Source organism: Homo sapiens, chromosome X (genome assembly GCF_000001405.40).
Source record: "Homo sapiens chromosome X, GRCh38.p14 Primary Assembly".
NCBI classification, from domain to species: domain Eukaryota; kingdom Metazoa; phylum Chordata; class Mammalia; order Primates; family Hominidae; genus Homo; species Homo sapiens.
The window spans coordinates 748,620-767,303 of record NC_000023.11 but is presented as its reverse complement, the minus strand read 5'-3'; the positions used below and the strand labels follow the sequence as shown (position 1 = coordinate 767,303).

The 18,684-nt window shown below is 45.3% G+C and overlaps 5 annotated features.

Annotated features, from left to right (window-relative positions):
- Nucleotides 474-640: a silencer, noted in NCBI's record as "fragment chrX:727399-727565 (GRCh37/hg19 assembly coordinates)". NCBI's record gives its function as "represses an EF-1alpha promoter that drives an FKBP-Casp9 reporter gene in an ReSE screen in K562 erythroleukemia cells {active_cell/tissue: K562}" and the evidence as "EXISTENCE:reporter gene assay evidence [ECO:0000049][PMID:32094911]".
- Nucleotides 13,286-13,955: an enhancer, noted in NCBI's record as "CNE4 PCR-amplified transgene fragment". NCBI's record gives its function as "enhancer in day 2 and day 3 zebrafish embryo fin, cardiovascular system, brain, skin, muscle, notochord and ear" and the evidence as "EXISTENCE:transgenic organism evidence [ECO:0001131][PMID:21731768]".
- Nucleotides 13,300-13,954: an enhancer, noted in NCBI's record as "CNE4 PCR-amplified reporter construct fragment". NCBI's record gives its function as "enhancer in ovo in chicken limb buds, and in human U2OS osteosarcoma cells" and the evidence as "EXISTENCE:reporter gene assay evidence [ECO:0000049][PMID:17200153, PMID:26631348, PMID:22791839]".
- Nucleotides 13,569-13,668: an enhancer, noted in NCBI's record as "CRCNE00011095 PCR-amplified transgene fragment". NCBI's record gives its function as "enhancer in day 2 and day 3 zebrafish embryo skin, with some activity in fin, muscle and heart" and the evidence as "EXISTENCE:transgenic organism evidence [ECO:0001131][PMID:21731768]".
- Nucleotides 13,590-13,675: a conserved region, noted in NCBI's record as "conserved region; CRCNE00011095 more deeply conserved sub-region". NCBI's record gives the evidence for it as "EXISTENCE:sequence alignment evidence [ECO:0000200][PMID:21731768]".

Below are 18,684 nucleotides of genomic sequence, written 5' to 3'. Positions count from 1 at the left end.
CGCACACGGGTCCTGACAGATCTCTCAGTCACTTTCCATGAAGGACAGGGCTGCAGCCCTATATCAATTTGCCATTACACGGTCAGCCAGGGCCCGGGGAAAGGACAGGGCCTTTTCTGGCTGTCTTCCCAACGTCTCCCCCTGCTTTCTTTTCCATAATTCCTTTTTTCTTTTCTCCTTTCTTCTTTGTTTCTTTTCTTTCTCTTCTTTCTCTCCTTCCTTCCTTTTCTTTCTTTCTCTTTTCTTTCTTTCTTTCTCTTTCTTTCTTTCTTTCTTTCTTTCTTTCTTTCTTTCTTTCTTTCTTTCTTTCTTTCTTTCTTTCTTTCTTTTTTCCTTCTTTCTTTCTTTTTTTCTTTCCTTCTTCTTTCTCAGGGTCTTGCTCTGTCACCCAGGCTGGACTGCAGGGAAATGATCCTGGCTGCCTCACTGCAGCCTCCAACTCCTGGGCTTAAGTCATCCTTCTGCCTCAACTGAGTAAGAAGCTGGAACTACAGGTGCATGCCACCATGCCCGGATGTTTTTTAAAAAATTTTTATACAAAAAAAAAAAAATTAGCCAGGCATGGTGGTGGGCGCCTGTAGTCCCAGCTACTCAGGAGGCTGAGGCAGGAGAATGGCGTGAACCCGGGAGGTGGAGCTTGCAGTGAGCCAAGATCGCGCCACTGCAATCCAGCCTGAGTGACAGAGCGGTACTCCGTCTCAAAAAAAAAAAAAAAAAAAAAAAATTATAGACATGGGATCTTGCTATGTTTTCCAGGCTGCTCTCACACTCCAAGGCTCAAGCATTTTTTCTGCCTTAACTGCCTGAGCAGCTGGAACTACAGGTTTGTGCTACCATGCCTGGATAATTTTTAAAATTTTTTTATAGACATTAGGTCTTGTGATGTTTCCCAGGCTTGTCTGGAACTCCTGGGCTAAAGCAATCCTCCTGCCTTAACTGCCTGAGTAGCTGGGACTACAGGTTTGTGCTACCATGCCTGGATAATTTTTAAAATTTTTTTATAGACATGAGGTCTTGTGATGTTTCCCAGGCTTGTCTGGAACTCCTGGGCTAAAGCAATCCTCCCGCCTTAACTGCCTGAGTAGCTGGGACTACAAGTGCATGCCACCATGCCTGGGTAATTTTTTTTATAGCGATGGGGTCTTGCTATGTTGTCTAGGCTGGTCTCAAACTCCTGGGCTCAAGAGATCCTCCCACCTCAACTTTCCTTATAGCTGGAACCATAGACACTCACCACCATGCCCTGCTCATTTTAAAAAATATTTTGTGGCCGGGTGTCGTGGCTCACGCCTGTAATCCCAGCACTTTGGGAGGCCGAGGTGGGTGGATCACGAGGTCAGGAGATGGAGACCATCCTGGCTAACACAGTGAAACCCCGTCTCTACTAAAAATACAAAAAAATTAGCCGGGCGTGGTGGCGGGCACCTGTAGTCCCAGCTACTCGGGAGGCTGAGGCAGGAGAAAGGCGTGAACCCGGGAGGCGGAGCTTGCAGTGAGCCGAGATTGTGCCATTGCACTCCAGCCTGGGCGACAGAGCGAGACTCAGTGTCAAAAAATAAAATATATATATATATATATATATATATATATATATATATATATATTGTAGAGATGGAGTCTCCCTGTGTTGCCCAGGCTGGTGTCAAACTCCTGGAATCAAGTGATCCTCCCGCCTCGGTCTCCCAAAGTGTTGGGATGACAAGCGGGAGCCACCATACCCAACCTCCAAAGTTTTTTATTTTGTGTGTCTTCTGTCTGCCCCTTTCTTTCTCTCTTCCTCTCTCCAGCAGCAAATGTCTCATGTTTTTGTATTATTTTTATTATTTTGTTTATAAAATTGAGTTACAGCTTCACAATGGACCCCTCCCTGTGTTGGTTTGTCTTATTAATGGTGACTGAGTAAAACCCACCTGGCATGACAGGTGCCTGCCACCACACCTGGCTAATTTTTGTATTTTTAGTAGACACGGAGTTTCACCATGTTGGTCAGGCTGGTCTCAAACTCCTGACCCTGTGACCCACCCACCTCAGCCTCCCAAAGTGCTGGGATTACAGCCGTGAGCCACTGCACCCGGCCAAAAAAATACATTTTAGGGTAAAATATTTAGATTTCCTCCAGGTCCTGCTCTGTGTCACATAAGGGTACACCAGAGTCAGGCAGGAATTTGGTATCTTATTGCTGCCAAGAGTATGTTCTTGTGTCTTATGACCCCCTTTTTTAACCTTTATTTACCTTTTTTCAACATTAATGGTCAGCTGGGCCTAAACTCCAAGGGTGCCAGGTATAACAAGTGCTATCTGATCTCCATTTTCATCATGGCCAGCATATTAATCAGGGTTGGCTAGAGGGACAGAACTAATAGGATTGATTAATATATAAAAGCGAGTTTATTGGCCAGGTGCAATGGCTCACGCCTGTCATCCCTGCACTTTGGGAGGCTGAGACAGGTGGATCACCTGAAGTCAGGAGTTCGAGACCAACCTGACCAACATGGAGAAACCCCGTCTCTACTATAAATACAAAAAAATTAGGTGGGCGCGGTGGCACATGCCTGTAATCCCTGCACTTTGGGAGGCTGAGGCGGGTGGATCACAAGGTCAGGAGTTCGAGACCAGCCTGACCAACATGGTGAAACCCCATCTCTACTAAAAATACAAAAAATTAGCTGGGCGTGGTGGCAGGCGCCTGTAATCCCAGGTACTCCAGAGGCTGAGGCAGGAGAATCGCTTGAACCCAAGAGGCAGAGCTTGCAGTGAGCCGAGATTGCACCACTGCACTCAAGCCTGGCAACAGAGTGAGACTCCGTCTCAAAATAAAATAAAGGGGATTTTATTAGGAGAATTGACTCACCCCATCACAAGGTGAAAATCCCACAACAGGCCATCTGCAAGTTGAGAAGCCAGAAAGCCAGTGGTGAATCCCGTCCACATCCCAAAACATCAAAAGCAGGGAGGCCAACAGGGCAGACTTCGAGACCATCCTGGCTAACACGCTGAAACCCCGTCTCTACTAAAAATACAAAAAATTAGCCGTGCTTGGTGGCGGGTGCCTGTAGTCCCAGGTACTCAGGAGGCTGAGGCAGGAGAATCACTTGAACCTGGGAGGCGGAGCTTGCAGTGAGCCGAGATCGTGCCACTGCACTCCAGCCTGGGTGACAAGAGTCCCTGGCAAACCAGTGGTGCACATCCAATAGTCTAAAAACTGATGGAGCGTGATGGAGTCTATGGTCAAAGGCAGGAAGCATCCAGCGTGGGAGAAAGATGGAGGCCGGAAGACTCAGCCAGTCTAGTCCTCCCACCAACCTCTGCCTGCTTCTATCCTAGCCCAGCTGGCAGCTGATGGGATGGTGCCCACCCAGAGAGAAGGTGGGTCTGCCTCTCTCAGTCCACTGGCTCCAGTGTGAATATCCTTTGGCAAGAACCTCACAGACACAGCCTCAATGAATACTTTGCATTCTTCAATCCAATCAAGTTGACACTCAATATTCACCATCCCAGCCAGGAATCTAGTTTTTCTCTGGAGTCTCCTTGGTTAAGAGAGGGTCAGTTCAGGCCAGGCGTGGTGACTCAGACCTGTAATCCCAGCACTTTGGGAGGCCGAGGCGGGCGGATCATGAGGTCAAGAGTCCAAGACCAGCCTGACCAACATGGTGAAACCCCATCTCTACCAAAAATACAAAAATTAGCTGAGCGTGGTGGCATGTGCCAGTAGTCCCAGCTACTGGGGAGGCTGAGGCAGGAGAATCCCTTGAACCCGGGAGGCGGAGCTTGCAGCGAGCCGAGATTGTGCCACTGCACTCCAGCCTGGGTGACAGAGCAAGACTCTATCTCAAAAAAAAAAAGGTTCAATGGGTTCAAACCCTTAAGATTTCATTTTTGGCTTACACGATGACACAGAATATATTCCATCTTTAGAGAACTTCCAAGGTAATAATGCACAAATGCCTCATTCCCCTCCATCATCTGGATGTCACAATGTCTCTCACTCCACTTTTTGTCTTCCTCTTTTGTTTGTGTCTCTTCTTTTCTGCCCCTGTTTTCAGACTTATAATTAGACTGAAAACTTCTAATGCCATTTATGTATCCTCAAAAGTGATCCAAACACCTAAAACGACTGATATTCTGCCAGGCTCATCAAAGGAAAGATAATTCATGTTGGGGTTATACATTTTTCTTTTAATGATTTGATAACCATTTATGGATTAAGATTCAAAAGAATAATGACAATAAAAATCTTTTGCAGAATTCTTCTTAATTATAGAAAAAGTACTTCATAAATATTGAAATCTGTTCTTATCTGCGAATGCCCTGATTTTTCTATACTTGGACACACTCCGAACGCAATTATTTGGTGATTAATCTATTTTTTAAACTTTCTGTTCATTAGTCGTTTGATGAAAGTTTATCTAGGCAAAGATCACACAGAGTTAGTGTATAAGGAGAATAGAATATAGATCATCGTATGAACGGAAAAGGAAGACAAGAAAATGGCCTCATGCTGGCCTACTAAGGCTATATCTTTAGGGGACAAATGAATTCTCAATTTAGCATTTTGGCCACCTTCATTTTCCATCAGGAGGGATGAACACAGCTGACTCATTCATCATATAACCCCATTCATTTTCTTTCTTTCTAAAGCACTTATAAAATATAAATAGATAATGATATGTTGATAATGTAGAAAGAACAACCATTTATAATATATAATATATGATGTTATGGGTTGAAGAGGGGAATAATATATAATATTTAATGTTACAGGTTGAATAGGGGGCTCTCCAAAAAAAAAAAAATGTTGAACTCCAAAGCCCTACAACTAGGCAACGTCGTCTTATTTGGAAAGACAGTCTTTACCAATGCAGTTAAGTTAGAATGACATCATTCTGGATTAGGGTGGATCCTAAATGCAATGACAGGTGTCCTTCTAAGAGACAGAAGAGGAGACACAGACACAGAGGAGAAGGCCACGTGGAGACAGAGGCAGAGACTGGAGTGATGGGGCCTCAAGCCCAGGGATGCCTGGAGCCCCCAGGAGCTGGGAGAGGCAGGAAGGACCCTCCCCTAGAGCCTCCAGGAAGAACAAAACACAACTGCAATGGGTTGGGTGGTGACGTCCAAAAGATATGTCCATGTCCTAAGCCCAGGAACCTGGGAATGGGACCTCATTTGGAAAAAGGTTATTTGTAGATGTAATTAAGGATCTGGAGATGAGATAATCCTGGATTAGGATGGGCCCTAAATGCAATGGTAAATGTCCTTCTAAGAGACAGAAGAGGAGACACAGACACAGAGGAGAAGGCCACGTGGAGACGGAGGCAGAGACTGGAGTGAGGCGGCCACAAGCCAGGGATGCCTGGAGCACCCAGGAGCTGGGAGAGGCAGGAAGGACCCTCCCCTAGAGACTGTGGAGGGAGCACGGCCCTGAGATATCTTCATCTCAGAGTCATGGTCTCCAGGACAGAGAGAGAATAAATTTCTGTAGTTTTAAGCTCCCAGTATCTGTGAACGAGAACTTATTTGAAAATAGGGTCTTTGCAGATACAGTGAACTGAAGGAGTTTGAGATGAGGTTATCCTGGATTAGGCTGGGCCCTAAATGCAATGACAGGTGTCCTTCTAAGAGACAGAAGAGGAGACACAGACACAGAGGAGAAGGTCACATGGAGATGGAGGCAGAGACTGGAGTGATGAGGCCACAAGCCCAGGGACGCCTGGACCCCCCAGGAGCTGGGAGTGGCAGGAAGCATCCTCCCCTAAAGCCTGCAGAGGAAGTGCAATCCTGAGACACCTTCATCTCAAACTTCTGATCTCCAGAACAGAGAATATAAATATTTGTTGTTTAAGCTCCCCAGACTGTGGAAGGATGAGGGGTGGGGTGGAGAGAGGAAGAAGAACAAAAAAACAAGAAGAAGGAGAAGGAAAAGGAGGAGGAGAAGGAGGAGGAGGAGAAGGAGAAGTACGGGGAGAAGGAGGAGGAGGAGTAGGAGGAGGAGGAGAAGGAGGAGAAGGAGAAGGACAAGGAGGAGGAGGAGAAGGATGAGAAGGAGGAGGAGAAGGATGAGGAGGAGGAGAAGGAGGAGGAGGAGAAGGAGGAGAAGGAGAAGGACGAGGAGGAGGAGGAGAAGGATGAGAAGGAGGAGGAGAAGGATGAGGAGGAGGAGAAGGAGGAGGAGGAGAAGGATGAGGAGAAGGAAGAGGAGGAGAAAGAAGAGGAGGAGGAGGAGGGAAGGACGAGGAGAAGGAGAAGGAGGAGGAGAAGGAGAAGGACGAGGAGAAGGAGGAGGAGAAGGAAGAGGAGGAGAAAGAAGAGGAGGAGGAGGAGAAGGAGGAGAAGGAGGAGGAGGGAAGGACAAGGAGAAGGAGGAAAAGGAGGAAAAGGAGGAAGAGGAGGAGGAGGAGGAGAAGGAGAAGGAGGAGAAGAAGAAGAAGAAGAAGAGAGAGAAAGAGCCACATATGAGCTGGAGAGGGAACTACAGGGAGAGGCACCCACCACGTCCAGCACCTGGAGGCTGGAAAGAGCTAAGAGTGTTAGGGACATGGAAAAAGGAGCTGCAGAGTGGGCACACTGTGGGTGGGAGCCTGAGAAGTTTGCTACATCCCCATATCTGGGGCTCAAAGTCCAGGGTGGATTTATTCCATGTCCCGGGGAAGAAACAGAAGAAATTGAAGGTGAAGGTTGGAGATGGCGCTGGGCAGGTGAGCCCCAAATTGGGGCTTAGCCTGGAAGGGTTTTTGGTCTCATCTAGAAAATAACTCAAGAGTGAGCTGGTGGTGTTAGACACCAACTTTTTTTTATTATTATTATACTTTAAGTTCTGGGGTACATGGGCAGAAAGTGCAGTTTTGTTACATAAGTATACACATGACATGGCGGCTTGCTGCACCCACCAACCCATGATCTACATTAGGTATTTCTTCTAATGATATCCCTCCCCTAACCCCCCATCCCCTGACAGGCCCCAGTGTGTGATGTTCCCTTCCCTGTGTCCATGTGTTCTCATTGTTCAACTCCCACTTATGAGTGAGAACATGCAGTGTTTGGTTTCTGTTCCTATGTTAGTTTGCTGAGAATGATGGTTTCCAGCTTCATCCATGTCCCTGTAAAGGACATGAACTCATTCTTTTTGATGGCCACATAGTATTCCATGGTGTCTATGTGCCACATTTTCTTCATCCAGTCTATCATTGATGGGCATTTAGGTTGGTTCCAAGTCTTTGCTATTGTGAACAGTGCCGCAATAAAGACACGCATGCATGCGTGTTTATAGTGGAATGATTTATAATCCTTTGGGTGTGTACCCAGTCATGGGATTGCTGGGTCAAATGCTATTTCTGGTTCTAGATCCTTGAGGAATTGCCACGCTGTCTTCCACGGTGGTTGAACTAATTGACAGTCCCACCAACTGTTATGAAGTGGCAGTTCACAGCAGCAGCAGAGGTGCTGGTCTTTGCAGAGCAGGCTTACCCATGGGCACTGAGTCCAGAGTAGCAGCTCAGAGGCAGTTCCACAATCATATTTATCAATGCTTCCAATTACATGCAAATTAAGGGGCAGGTTTTGCAGTAATTTCTAGAAAAAAAATATACCCCCTTCTGGGTCATTGGGTCATTGCCATGGAAAGGAGCAGTAACATCTGGGTGTTGTCATGGAAATGGGACCAGGTGGGTGTGTCTTATTGTATTTGTAGCATGACATGGTACTGGTGGGTGTGTCCTTTCGTATTTGTCTGTTCTCATGCTGCCAATAAAGACATATCCAAGACTGCATAATTTATACAGGAAAGAGGTTTAATGGACTTACACTTCCACTTGGCTGGGGAAACCTCACGATCATCGCGCAAGAGCAAGGGACTTCTTACATGGCGGCAGGCAAGAAGAGAATGAGAACCACATGAAACAGATTTACCCTTCTAAAACCATCAGATCTCATGAGACTTATTCACTTCCACAAGAACAGTATGGGGGAACTGCCTCCATGATGAAATTATCTTCCACAACACATGGGAATTATGGGAGCTACAATTCGAGATGAGATTTGGGTAGGGACACAGCCAAACCACATCACTAATGGAGAGCTGCTTCTGCCCTAGACCTGCTTTAGCTAGTCCTCAACCTGGTCCAGTGTCTTAGCCCTGCCTCTGCGGTCATGTCCTGCTTCCTACCTTAGAGGCATGAGAATGACGTAATTTGACTTCAAAGAATATTAGCTGCTACGTGGAGAATGACTGGAAGAAGTCAAGGATGGGAGTTGAGGAGCACTTTGGGAAGCTGCCGTCTCGGTAGAGAGCATGTGGTGGCTGAAGCTTCAATGAGGGTAGCAGCATCCCAGGGAGAAGGGGAGGGAAAGCTAATGTGGACCTTTAATAATGCTTCTAGCTGCAGCCTCTACCTGAGATCATCTGTATCTGAGTCCTACACACTTCATTCTCAGCATTGTCTGGGTGTGCACGGTTCTACATTCACCCTGGGTGAAGACATCTATGACCCATAGGGAAGATCACCTGGATGCTTTCTTTTTTCTTTTTCTTTTCGTTTTTTTGTTTTTAAGACTGAATCTCACCAGGCGCAGTGGCTCACGCCTGTCATCCCAGCACTTTGGGAGGCACAGGTGGGCAGATCACAAGGTCAGGAGATCAAGACCATCCTAGCTGACACGGTAAAACCCCATCTCTACTAAAAGTACAAAAAATTAGCCGGGCTTGGTGGTGGGCACCTTTAGTCCCAGCTACTTGGGAGGCTGAGGCAGGAGAATGGCGTGAACCCGGGAGGTGGAGGTTGCAGTGAGCCGAGATCGCGCCACTGCACTCCAGCTGGGGGACAGAGTGAGATTCTGTCTCAAAAAAACAAAAACAAAAACAAAAACAAAAAAACAAAACTGAATCTCACTCTGTTGCTCAGGCTGGAGTACACTGACATGATCTCAGCTCACTGAAACCTCCACCTCCTGGGTTCAAGCAATTCTCTTGCCTCAACCTCCCCAGTAGCTGGGACTGCAGGTGCACACCACCAATCCCAGCTCATTTTTTTTTGTATTTTTAGTAGAGACAGGGTTTCACCATGTTGTCCAGGCTGGTCTTGATCTCCTAGCCTCAAGTGATCCACCCACCTCGGCCTCCCAAAGTGCTGGGATCAAGGTATGAGCCACTGCACCCAGCCAAAGATGCTTTAAGGTCGAGGTAACAAGGACTGTATCTACATATGATAAACCCAAGAATACTCCCTGGAAACTGGGCCAAAGAATCCATCATGGGAAGGATGTGATGTGGCCCCAGCAAAACATGGCTGGGTTTTTGTTGTACTCAGGTGAAGTTTCGGTTGTGAGCCATACCAGGAAAAGATATGGAGACATCAGATCTCATGCAGAGGAGGACAGGTCAAGTGTATTGAGTCCCTAGTCCTGTGTAGGATCTGGGCTGATGACGCCCTCCTCACCTTATAGATTCCTCACAACAGGGAGATTCCAGAAAACAGCCTTAGATATCAGCAAACTTCCCTTGACAATGTACTATATCACTCTCACCCTACAAAGTCCCTTTTGGTGACAGACACACTTAAGGTCATCTCCATGAACCATGGCAAAATAAGTGGTTAAATTTTCTCAGATGCGTTTCTGCTACCTTGATATGGATGTAGGTTGAGTACCCTAATCTCACTAAATGCTGTCTAGAGAGTGAATCTCCACAACTTTCATCTGCATAAGAAAGATATCTTATGATATGCTAATGATAAAGGTGGAATCCTTAATGAGTATTACAATTAAGGACAAATAATTAAATGCTTACCTTTTTTGGATTCTTTGAACATCAGCCTCAAAGCTGTCTGCACTGATAAAATATGGCATAGAAAAGACAGCTAGTTCTTCTCTTCCTGATATTTTGGCTTCAGTGACTATTTTGGGGGGCTCTGGGACTGTCCAACTCTACAGTGTTGTGGCCAAATTGGAAGAGTGGAATGAAAATGCAGGCTCTGGGCTGATGAGACCATTTTCACTTCATCTATTCCTCACACAGGGAAGGACAGGTCAAGTGTATTGAGGTCCTGATCCTGTGGAGGCTCTGGGCTGGTGAGACCTTTCTCATTTCATATATTCCTCACATGAGGAAGGAGAGGCCAAGCATATTGAGGTCCTTGTCTGGTGCAGGCTCTGGGCTAATGAGAACCTCTCACTTCATATCTTCCTCACACAGGGAAGGAGGGGCCAAGTGTATTGAGGTCCTGGTCCTGTGCAGGCTCTGGGCTGGTGACACCCTCGTGTCTTCATCTATTCCTCACATGAGGAGGGAGAAGTCAAGTGTATCGAGGTCCTAGTCATGTGTAGGTTCTGTGCTGGTGACACCCTCATCACTTCATGTATTCCTCACACAGGGAAAGAGTGGTCAAGTGTATTGAGGTCCTGGTCCTGGGCAGGCTCTGGGGTGGTGACACCCTCCTCACTTCATGTATTCTTCACACAGGGAAAGAGTGGTCAAGTGTATTGAGGTCCTGGTCCTGGGCAGGCTCTGGAGTGGTGACACCCTCATGACTTCATCTATTCCCCAGATGGGGAAGGAGAAGTCAAGTGTATTGAAGTCCTAGTCATGTGCAGGCTCTGGGCTGATGACACCCTCGTGACTTCATATATTCCTCACACAGGGAAAGAGTGTTAAAGTGTATTGAGGTCCTCATCCTGTGCAGACTGTGGGCTGGTGACACCCTCGTGACTTCATCTATTCCTCACATGGGGAAGGAGAAGTCAAGTGTATTGAGGTCCTGGTCCTGTGGAGGTTGTGGGCTGATGAGACCCTCGTCACTTCATCTATTCCTCACATGAGGAGGGAGAAGTCAAGTGTATTGAGGTCCTAGTCATGTGTAGGCTCTGGGCTGGAGACACACTTGTCACTTCATATATTCCTCACACAGGGAAAGAGTGGACAAGTGTATTGAGGTCCTCATCCTGTGCAGGCTCTGGGCTGGTGAGATTCCTCCTCACTTCATATATTCCTCACACAGGGAAAGAACGGTCAAGTGTGTTGAGGTCCTAGTCCTGTGCAGGTTCTGAGCTGGTGAGACTCCCCCTCATTTCATGGGTTCCTCACTCAGGGAATGAGAGGTCAAGTGCATTGAAGTCCTGGTCCTGTGCAGGCTGTGGGCTGGTGACACCCTTTCTACTTCATGAACTCATCACAGCAAGGAAGCAGTCTATTAAGGTAAAGTGTATTAAGTTCATAGTCCTGTACAGGTTGACCTGACCCTGTTTATATCATTTACTTCTCACAGATGACTTTATCAACCCTGGGTCACCTACGGTCCTGGGATTAACTCCACTACGGGTTGTTCCTTTCACCTCTCTACACCCTCAGAACACCTACCCCTGCTCTTCTCAATGACAGAGGAATTTCAGAGGCAGTTCAGCCACCAATAATCCATACACAAACAAGGTGACCTTTCAACTTCTTACATGTAATACCTTGAAGAAGAATGGAATTAATTATATTTCAGTGAAAATGACATTGTCCTGGACACTGTAAAAGTAGGCTGGGTGCAGCGGCTCACGCCTGTAATCCCAGCATTTTGGGAGGCCGAGGTGGGTGGATCATTTGAGGTCAGGAGTTCGAGACCAGCCTGGCCAACATGGTGAAACCCCATCTCTACTAAAAATACAAAAGTTAGCTCGACATAATGGTGCACACCTGTAATCCCAGCTACTTGGGAGGCTGAGGCAGGAGAATGGCGTGAACCCGGGAGATGGAGGTTGCAGTGAGCCAAGATCGTGCCACTGCACTCCTGCCTGGGCAACAGAGCTAGACTCCGTCTCAAAAAAAAAAAAAAAAAAAAAAAAAAAAAAAAAAAAGAATTGCCACTTGCCACTCCTGCGTATGACATTTTTTTGTTTTGTTTTTTTTTTTTTTGAGACAGAGTCTCACTCAGTCCCACAGGCTAGAGTGCAGTGGTGCGATCTTGGCTCACTGCAAGCTCCACTCCCAGGTTCACACCATTCTCCTGCCTTAACCTCCTGAGTAGCTGGGACTACAGGTGCCCGCCACCACGCCCAGCTAATTTTTTGTATTAGTAGAGATGGGGTTTCACCGTGTTAGCCAGGATGGTCCCAATCTCCTGACCTCGTGATCCGCCCGCCTCGGCCTCCCAAAGTGCCGGATTACAGGCATCAGCCACCCCACCCGGCCTGTCCACTGTTATCTAAACAGACTCACAGCTGCTTTTGAGCACCCTGCCCTATAGCAAAATCAAACAAACAAAAAATAATCCATCTCTAAATGCTATTCTAACCCATCTCTAAATTCTATTCTATCTGTCCTGCCTACAGGTAGAATATAATTTAGACCCAGGCTGGGTGCAGTGGTTCACGCCTGTTAGTCCCAGCACTTTGAGAGCCCGAGACAGGTGGATTGCTTGAACCCAGCCTGAATGACACACACAAAAACACCCAACTCTACCAAAAATACAAAACTTAGCCAGGCGTGGTGGCGGGCACCTGTGATCCCAGCTACTCAGGAGGCTGAGGCAGGAGCCCAGGGGGCAGAGGTTGCAATGAGCCGAGGCTGTACCACGGCAGTCCAGCCAGAGTGATAGAGCGAGGCCCTGCCTCAAAAAGAAAAAAAAAAGGAAAAAAGAATAGAATTTAGGCCTGGACAGACACTCTGTCCAGGTCTAAATGTCTACTCTTCCAACTGTAGAGTTGAGGGTACTTTTTGTACCACTCAGCCTGGATTCAAGCAATGCACCTGCCTCAGCCTCCCAAAGTGCTGGGACTGCAGGCATGAACCACTGCACCCAGCCTGGGTCTAAATTCTATTCTATCTGTCCTCCCTACAGTTACAATCAAAGTTAGAGATGGGTTACAATAGAACTTGGAGGCCGGGCGTGGTGGCTCACGCCTGTCATCCCAGCACTTTGGGAGGCCGAGGCGGGCGGATCACTTGAGGTCGGAAGTTCAAGATCAGCCTGGTCAACATGGCGAAAACCCGTCTCTACTAAAAATACCAAAAATTAGCCGGGCCTGGTGGTGGGCGCCTGTAGTCCCAGGTACTCGGGAGGCTGAGGCAGGAGAATTGCTTGAACCCGGGAGGCGGAGGTTGCAGTGAGCCGAGATCGCACCACTGCACTCCAGCCTGGGGGACAGAGAGTGAGACTCTGCCTCAAAAAATAATAATAATAATAAAAATATAGAATTTGGAGGTGGGTCATTTTCTCCAGGGCAGCTAGTCAAGCTGGTAGATACTGCTAGCTCGGCCTCGAGGTAGTTCAGGAGCTGGCAGTTAAGTCTCAGCTCCTGGACCGGGATGTAACCCCCTCTTAGTCCTGGTGTTCGGTCTCAGCTCCTGGCTGAGTTAATTGCTAGCAGGTTTACGAAGCATCTAATTGAACTGGACATCTCCGTGAGCTCTAACCGCCAGGCCGTTGCAAGACGTCCCGGACATAAGGCAGCCTGCAGGTTATTTAGTACGTGTGAGGACTTTGCATTTTTCTTTACCTTCCATGTGAAAATAGTTAACCGCAGTGAAACGTCCCAGCCCTGCACTTTGCAAAATGGTGAAATTAAGTTTTCCACGGAGCAGCCCGGGAAACAGAGTCTTCATTGATTCCGCAGAAAGAAACTTGTTCGTATTCAACAACGATAACCTTTTAGAAGGTTTCGAAAGCAAATCTGACACCCCATTAAAAGGCAAATGATTTTTTTTTCTCTCCACACAAGAAAAAGAAACGTTTAAAACACAGAAGGCTATTAATAAATAATGGGGCTCTTTTTTTTTTTTAATATAGGAAACCCTGACATCAAAGGGAAGCCGTAAACTGTATCGGAGGCGGCGTGTCGGACCCCGTGCCTTAATTGTCAAGGCAGCGAGGGTCTTGTTTTTATTAGTTGCGCAAAAGATATTTTATTGAATGTCAGGTTGTAATTTGATTTTAAAAGGAATAGAAAAAAGATGACATTTTCGAGTGCATAACACTGCAAAAAAAAAAAAAAAAGAGAGAGAGAAAAACTCTATTCACTCTAAATGCTAACTGCCACACAGAAAAATGCCATTACTCCAGAGAAATCTCTGCACCAGAAACCGTGAGCATTTTCAACGTACGCAGATACCGTCCCTCACTCATGTTCTGTGACAGTGGCCATCCTTAAAACAAGAATTAAAAAAAAGAATGGCGTATTTTGTATTCCCAAGGGGAGAATTTGCTAGAATTGCAAAGAAAAATGTACCTGCACCCGTGACTGTAGGATTTGCTTTTTGTAGACATCATTTATTCATACGTTAAGGTTTTTTTCTTTTTTGCAAACTTCCCTTCCAGAGAAACAGATTCAACAGGGGAAAGATAGGCCAAGCATGGTGGCTCACGTCTGTCATCCCAGCAGTTTGGGAGGCCCAGGTGGGTGGATCTCCTGAGCTCAGGAGTTCGAGACCATCCTGGCCAACATGGAGAAACCCCGTCTCTACTAAAAATACAGACATTACCTGGGCATGGTGGCGGGTGCCTGTAATCCCAGCTACTTGGGAGGCTGAGGCAGGAGAATCGCTTGAACCCTGGAGGCAGAGGTTGCAGTGAGCCGAGATGGCACCACTGCCCTCCAGCCTGGGCGACAGAGCAAGAATCTGTCTCAAAATAAATACGTAAATAAATCAATAAGAAGAAATTAATGTACTGACATGGTAAAGTCAAAACAAGAACTTGGCCTCTTGGTGTCCCGTGAAGGACTCTGAACGCCTTGATGATCCACAAGTGATAAGGAAGAGACGAAAACGAGACAGATCGAACTCTCCCAAAAATACAAAACTTAGCCGGGCATGGTGGTTCACGCACCTGTAATCCCTGCTACTTGGGAGGCTGAGGCAAGAGGATCGCCTGAGCCCAGGAGGCAGAGGTTGCAGTGAGCCGAGGTTGTAACACAGCAGTCCAGCCAGAGTGACACAGTGAGGCCCTGCCTCAAAAAAAAAAAAGAGGAAAAAAGAATAGAATTTAGGCCTGGACAGACATTCTGTCTGTACTAAATGTCTATACTCCCAACTGTAGATTGTAAATGTCTATACAAGTGTAGAGTTGGGGTCTTTGTGTATCACTCAGGCTGGATGCAAGCAATGCACCTGCCTCACCCTTCCAAAGTGCTGGGACTGCAGACATGAACCCCTGCACCCAGCCTGGGTCTAAATTCTATTCTATCTGTCCTCCGTACTTTTGCACCTGCTCAATAGGAATTCCCTGGCTGGCATTCTGAAATGGCTCAGAAAAGAGGGTCGTCCCAGCTCCGTGGGGCAATTGTCTTCTTGGCCGTGAAGTCCCTGGAAGGCTAACGCCCACACACACACAGCACCTGGAGTGGACGGGGTGTGCCTTTGGGGCTAACTTTGGCCTTCTGCCCACAGATGTGGGAGTTCATCTCTCAAACCGAATGGACATTTTTGTCCTTCTCATCTTTCTTCTGCGTTGTTAGAGTTGACTTCCCTGAGTGTGGAATGGAATTAAGCATGTGTTGCCTCTTTAGCTGGGTTCATGGAGGGGCTCTGATTCTCCATAGACCCCAAAAAGAGCTATATACCTTGTCTGCCCATGTGTTGACCACTCCCCGGAAACCAACAGGAGAGAGGACCACCAAGTCAAAACCAACCAGCTCTCCAAGGGGATCCTCGATTAGCGATCACCACCTGCCCCAAGGGGCTCCTTTACCTTAGTAGATAATTCCAAGAATGCTGCTGTGATGGTCATTTTCCTCTTTCACGTGCTTCTGCTATATCCAAATACATATATTTGGTAACAGGATTTTAAAAAATATATTTTAATATAAATTTATTTATTGTATACTTTTATTTAATATTTATATGAAGGAATAAATTTATTTAAATAAAGTTATTCCTTCATATAAATATTAAATATTAGTGTAATATATATTAATGAATAAATTTATTTAAATTTATTCCTTCATATAAATATTAAATATTTGTGTAATATATATTAACGAATAAATTTATTTAAATTTATTCTTCATATAAATATTAAATATTTGTGTAATATATAAATGAATAAATTTATTTAAATTTATCCCTTCATATAAATATTAAATATTTGTGTAATATATAATTAATAAATTTAATTCCTTAATAAAAATATTAAATATTTGTGTAAGATATAAATGAATAAATTTATGTAAATTAATTCATTAAGATAAATATTAAATAAATATTTGTGTAATATTTATATTAATGAATAAACATTTGTTTAACATTTATATTTAGTAAATTTATTTATTTAATATTTATATTAAATATATTAAATAAAAATTATTTGGGCTGGGCGTGGTGGCTCAAACCTGTAAGATTCCAGCACTTTGGGAGGCCGAGGTGGGTGGATCATGAGGTCAGAAGTTCGAGACCAGCCTGGCCAACATGGCGAAATCCTGTCTCTACTAAAAATACAAAAATTAGCAGGGCATGGCGGCAAGAGCCTGTAATCCCAGCTACTCAGGACGCTGATGCAGGAGAATCGCTTGAACCGGGAGGCGGAGGTTCAGTGAGCTGAGATAAAGCCACTGCACTTCAGCCTGGGTGACAGAGTAAGACACAGTCTCAAAAAAAAAAACAAAAAAAAAAAAAAAAGAAAAAAAAAAAGAAAAGAAAAGAAAGAAAAAAGAAAAAAGAAACCAGGAGTGGCTGAGTCACTACGAAGCATTCCTCCAACACCAGTTAGACCAGAGGTGGGCAAATCTTTTAAGTGAAGAGCCAGATAGTCAATATTTTCAGTTTTGTGGACCACACAGTCTGCCATGCAAGGATTTAGCTCTGCCCTTGTGGCAGGAAAGCAGCCACAGACGGTGTGCACAAGAATGTGTGTGTGACCATGTTTCAATAAAACTTTATTGACAGTAACGTGCAGGGGGCCGGATTGGCTTCGTTTGCAACACCCCCAATATGCTGGGTTATACTAAACTGTGAACCACTCCAACATTCTGCATCTGATCCTCAATGTATCTCTTTCACCTCTGCACTGCCCCAGCCCTTGGCAATGAATACAGTATCTTCTCACTGTTAAGATTCTGCCAGATATTTATTAATTTTGTTTAAAGAATCAGCCAATTGTGGTGGTTCATGCCTGTAATCCCAGCACTTTGGTAAACCAAAGCAGGAGGATTGCTTAAGGCCAGGAGTTTGAGGCCAGCCTGGGCAATATATAGCAAGACCCCATCTGCACAGAAAAAAAATTAAAAATTAGCCAGGCATGGTGGTGTGTGCCTGTGGTCTCAGCTGCTTTGGAGGCTGAGGTGGGAGGATCGCTTGAGCCCAGGAGGTCGAGGCTACAGTGAGCCATGATTGCACCAGTGCACTCCAGCCTGGGTGACAGAGTAAGACCTTGTCTCATAAAATAAAATAAAATAAAATATAAAATAAAATAAAATAACTTGATACGCCTGTTTCCCGCTGAACAAATTCATCTGTCTATCTTTCTTTCCTTCTTTCTTTTTTCTTTCTTCCTTTCTGTTTCTTTATTTTTCTTTCTTTTTTTTGAGACAGAGTCTTGCTCTGTCACCAGGCTGGAGTGCAGTGGCGTGATCTCAGCTCACTGCAACCTCTGCCTCCAGGGTTTAAGCGATTCTCCTGCCTCAGTCTCCCGAATAGCTGGGACTACAGGCACCAGCCATCATGCCCGGCTAATTTTTGTATTTTTATTAGAGATGGGGTTTCACCATGTTGGCCAGGATGGTCTCAATCTCTTGACCTCGTGATCCACCTGCCTCGGCCTCCCAAAGTGCTGGGATTACAGGCGTGAGCCACCACGCCCAGTCCCTTCCTTCCTTCCTTTCTTTTTTCTTTCTCTCCCTTTGTTTGTCTTTCTTTCTTTCTTTCTTTTTCTTTCTTTCTTTCTTTCTTTCTTTCTTTCTTTCTTTCTTTCTTTCTTTCTTTCTTTCTTTCTTTTTCTTCCTTTCTCTTTCCTGCTTGCTTGCTTGCTTGCTTTTCTTTTTCTTTCTTTCTTTCTTTCTTTCTTTCTTTCTTTCTTTCTTTCTTTCTCTCTGTGTCTCTTTCTTCTTTTTCTTTATTTCTTCTTTCTCTTTATTTTTTCTCTCTTTTTTCTCTTTCTTTCCTTCTTTCTTTCTTTCTCTTTCTTTTTTCCATCTTTCTGTCTGTCTCTTTTTTATGAATATAAAGACCTCTTTTTTTGAAAGAAGTCAAATCTGGGACTTCTGTATTACCATAACGACATAGATAATCACATTTTGTTCTGTTTCAGTGTTTTGTGCTAAAAATACCCCAGCTGCCCTATTTAATGAGGAAATGCAGCAGTGATCAATACTGATGTATTTCCGGAACAATGTGTTCAGGGCCTCAAGGAGCCTGGTTAATTTTAGGCACTAACAAATGAATAGAACATGTTCCAGTTAACTTAGTAGCAGCTTGGACCCAATACTTCAAGCCACAGGAGTTATTATAATCAGCATCTTTCTCTCTCTAATGCCAATAAGTGGCTATTCCAGGATACAATTTTCTGAAAAATCAAGCTGATGAGAACAGAAGCTACGACCACCACCTACGTGGGCACTCGTACCTGGGACATGATGAGTCATAGGATGTAGGCAATTGGTACCAGTTAGCCAGCATCCTTCTAGCAGGTGCCATGTGCTATTTTGATACAGTCATTATGTAAAAAAAAAAAAAGAAAAAAAAACTTATGGCTAGAAAATATCATCCACACACCTATTCTT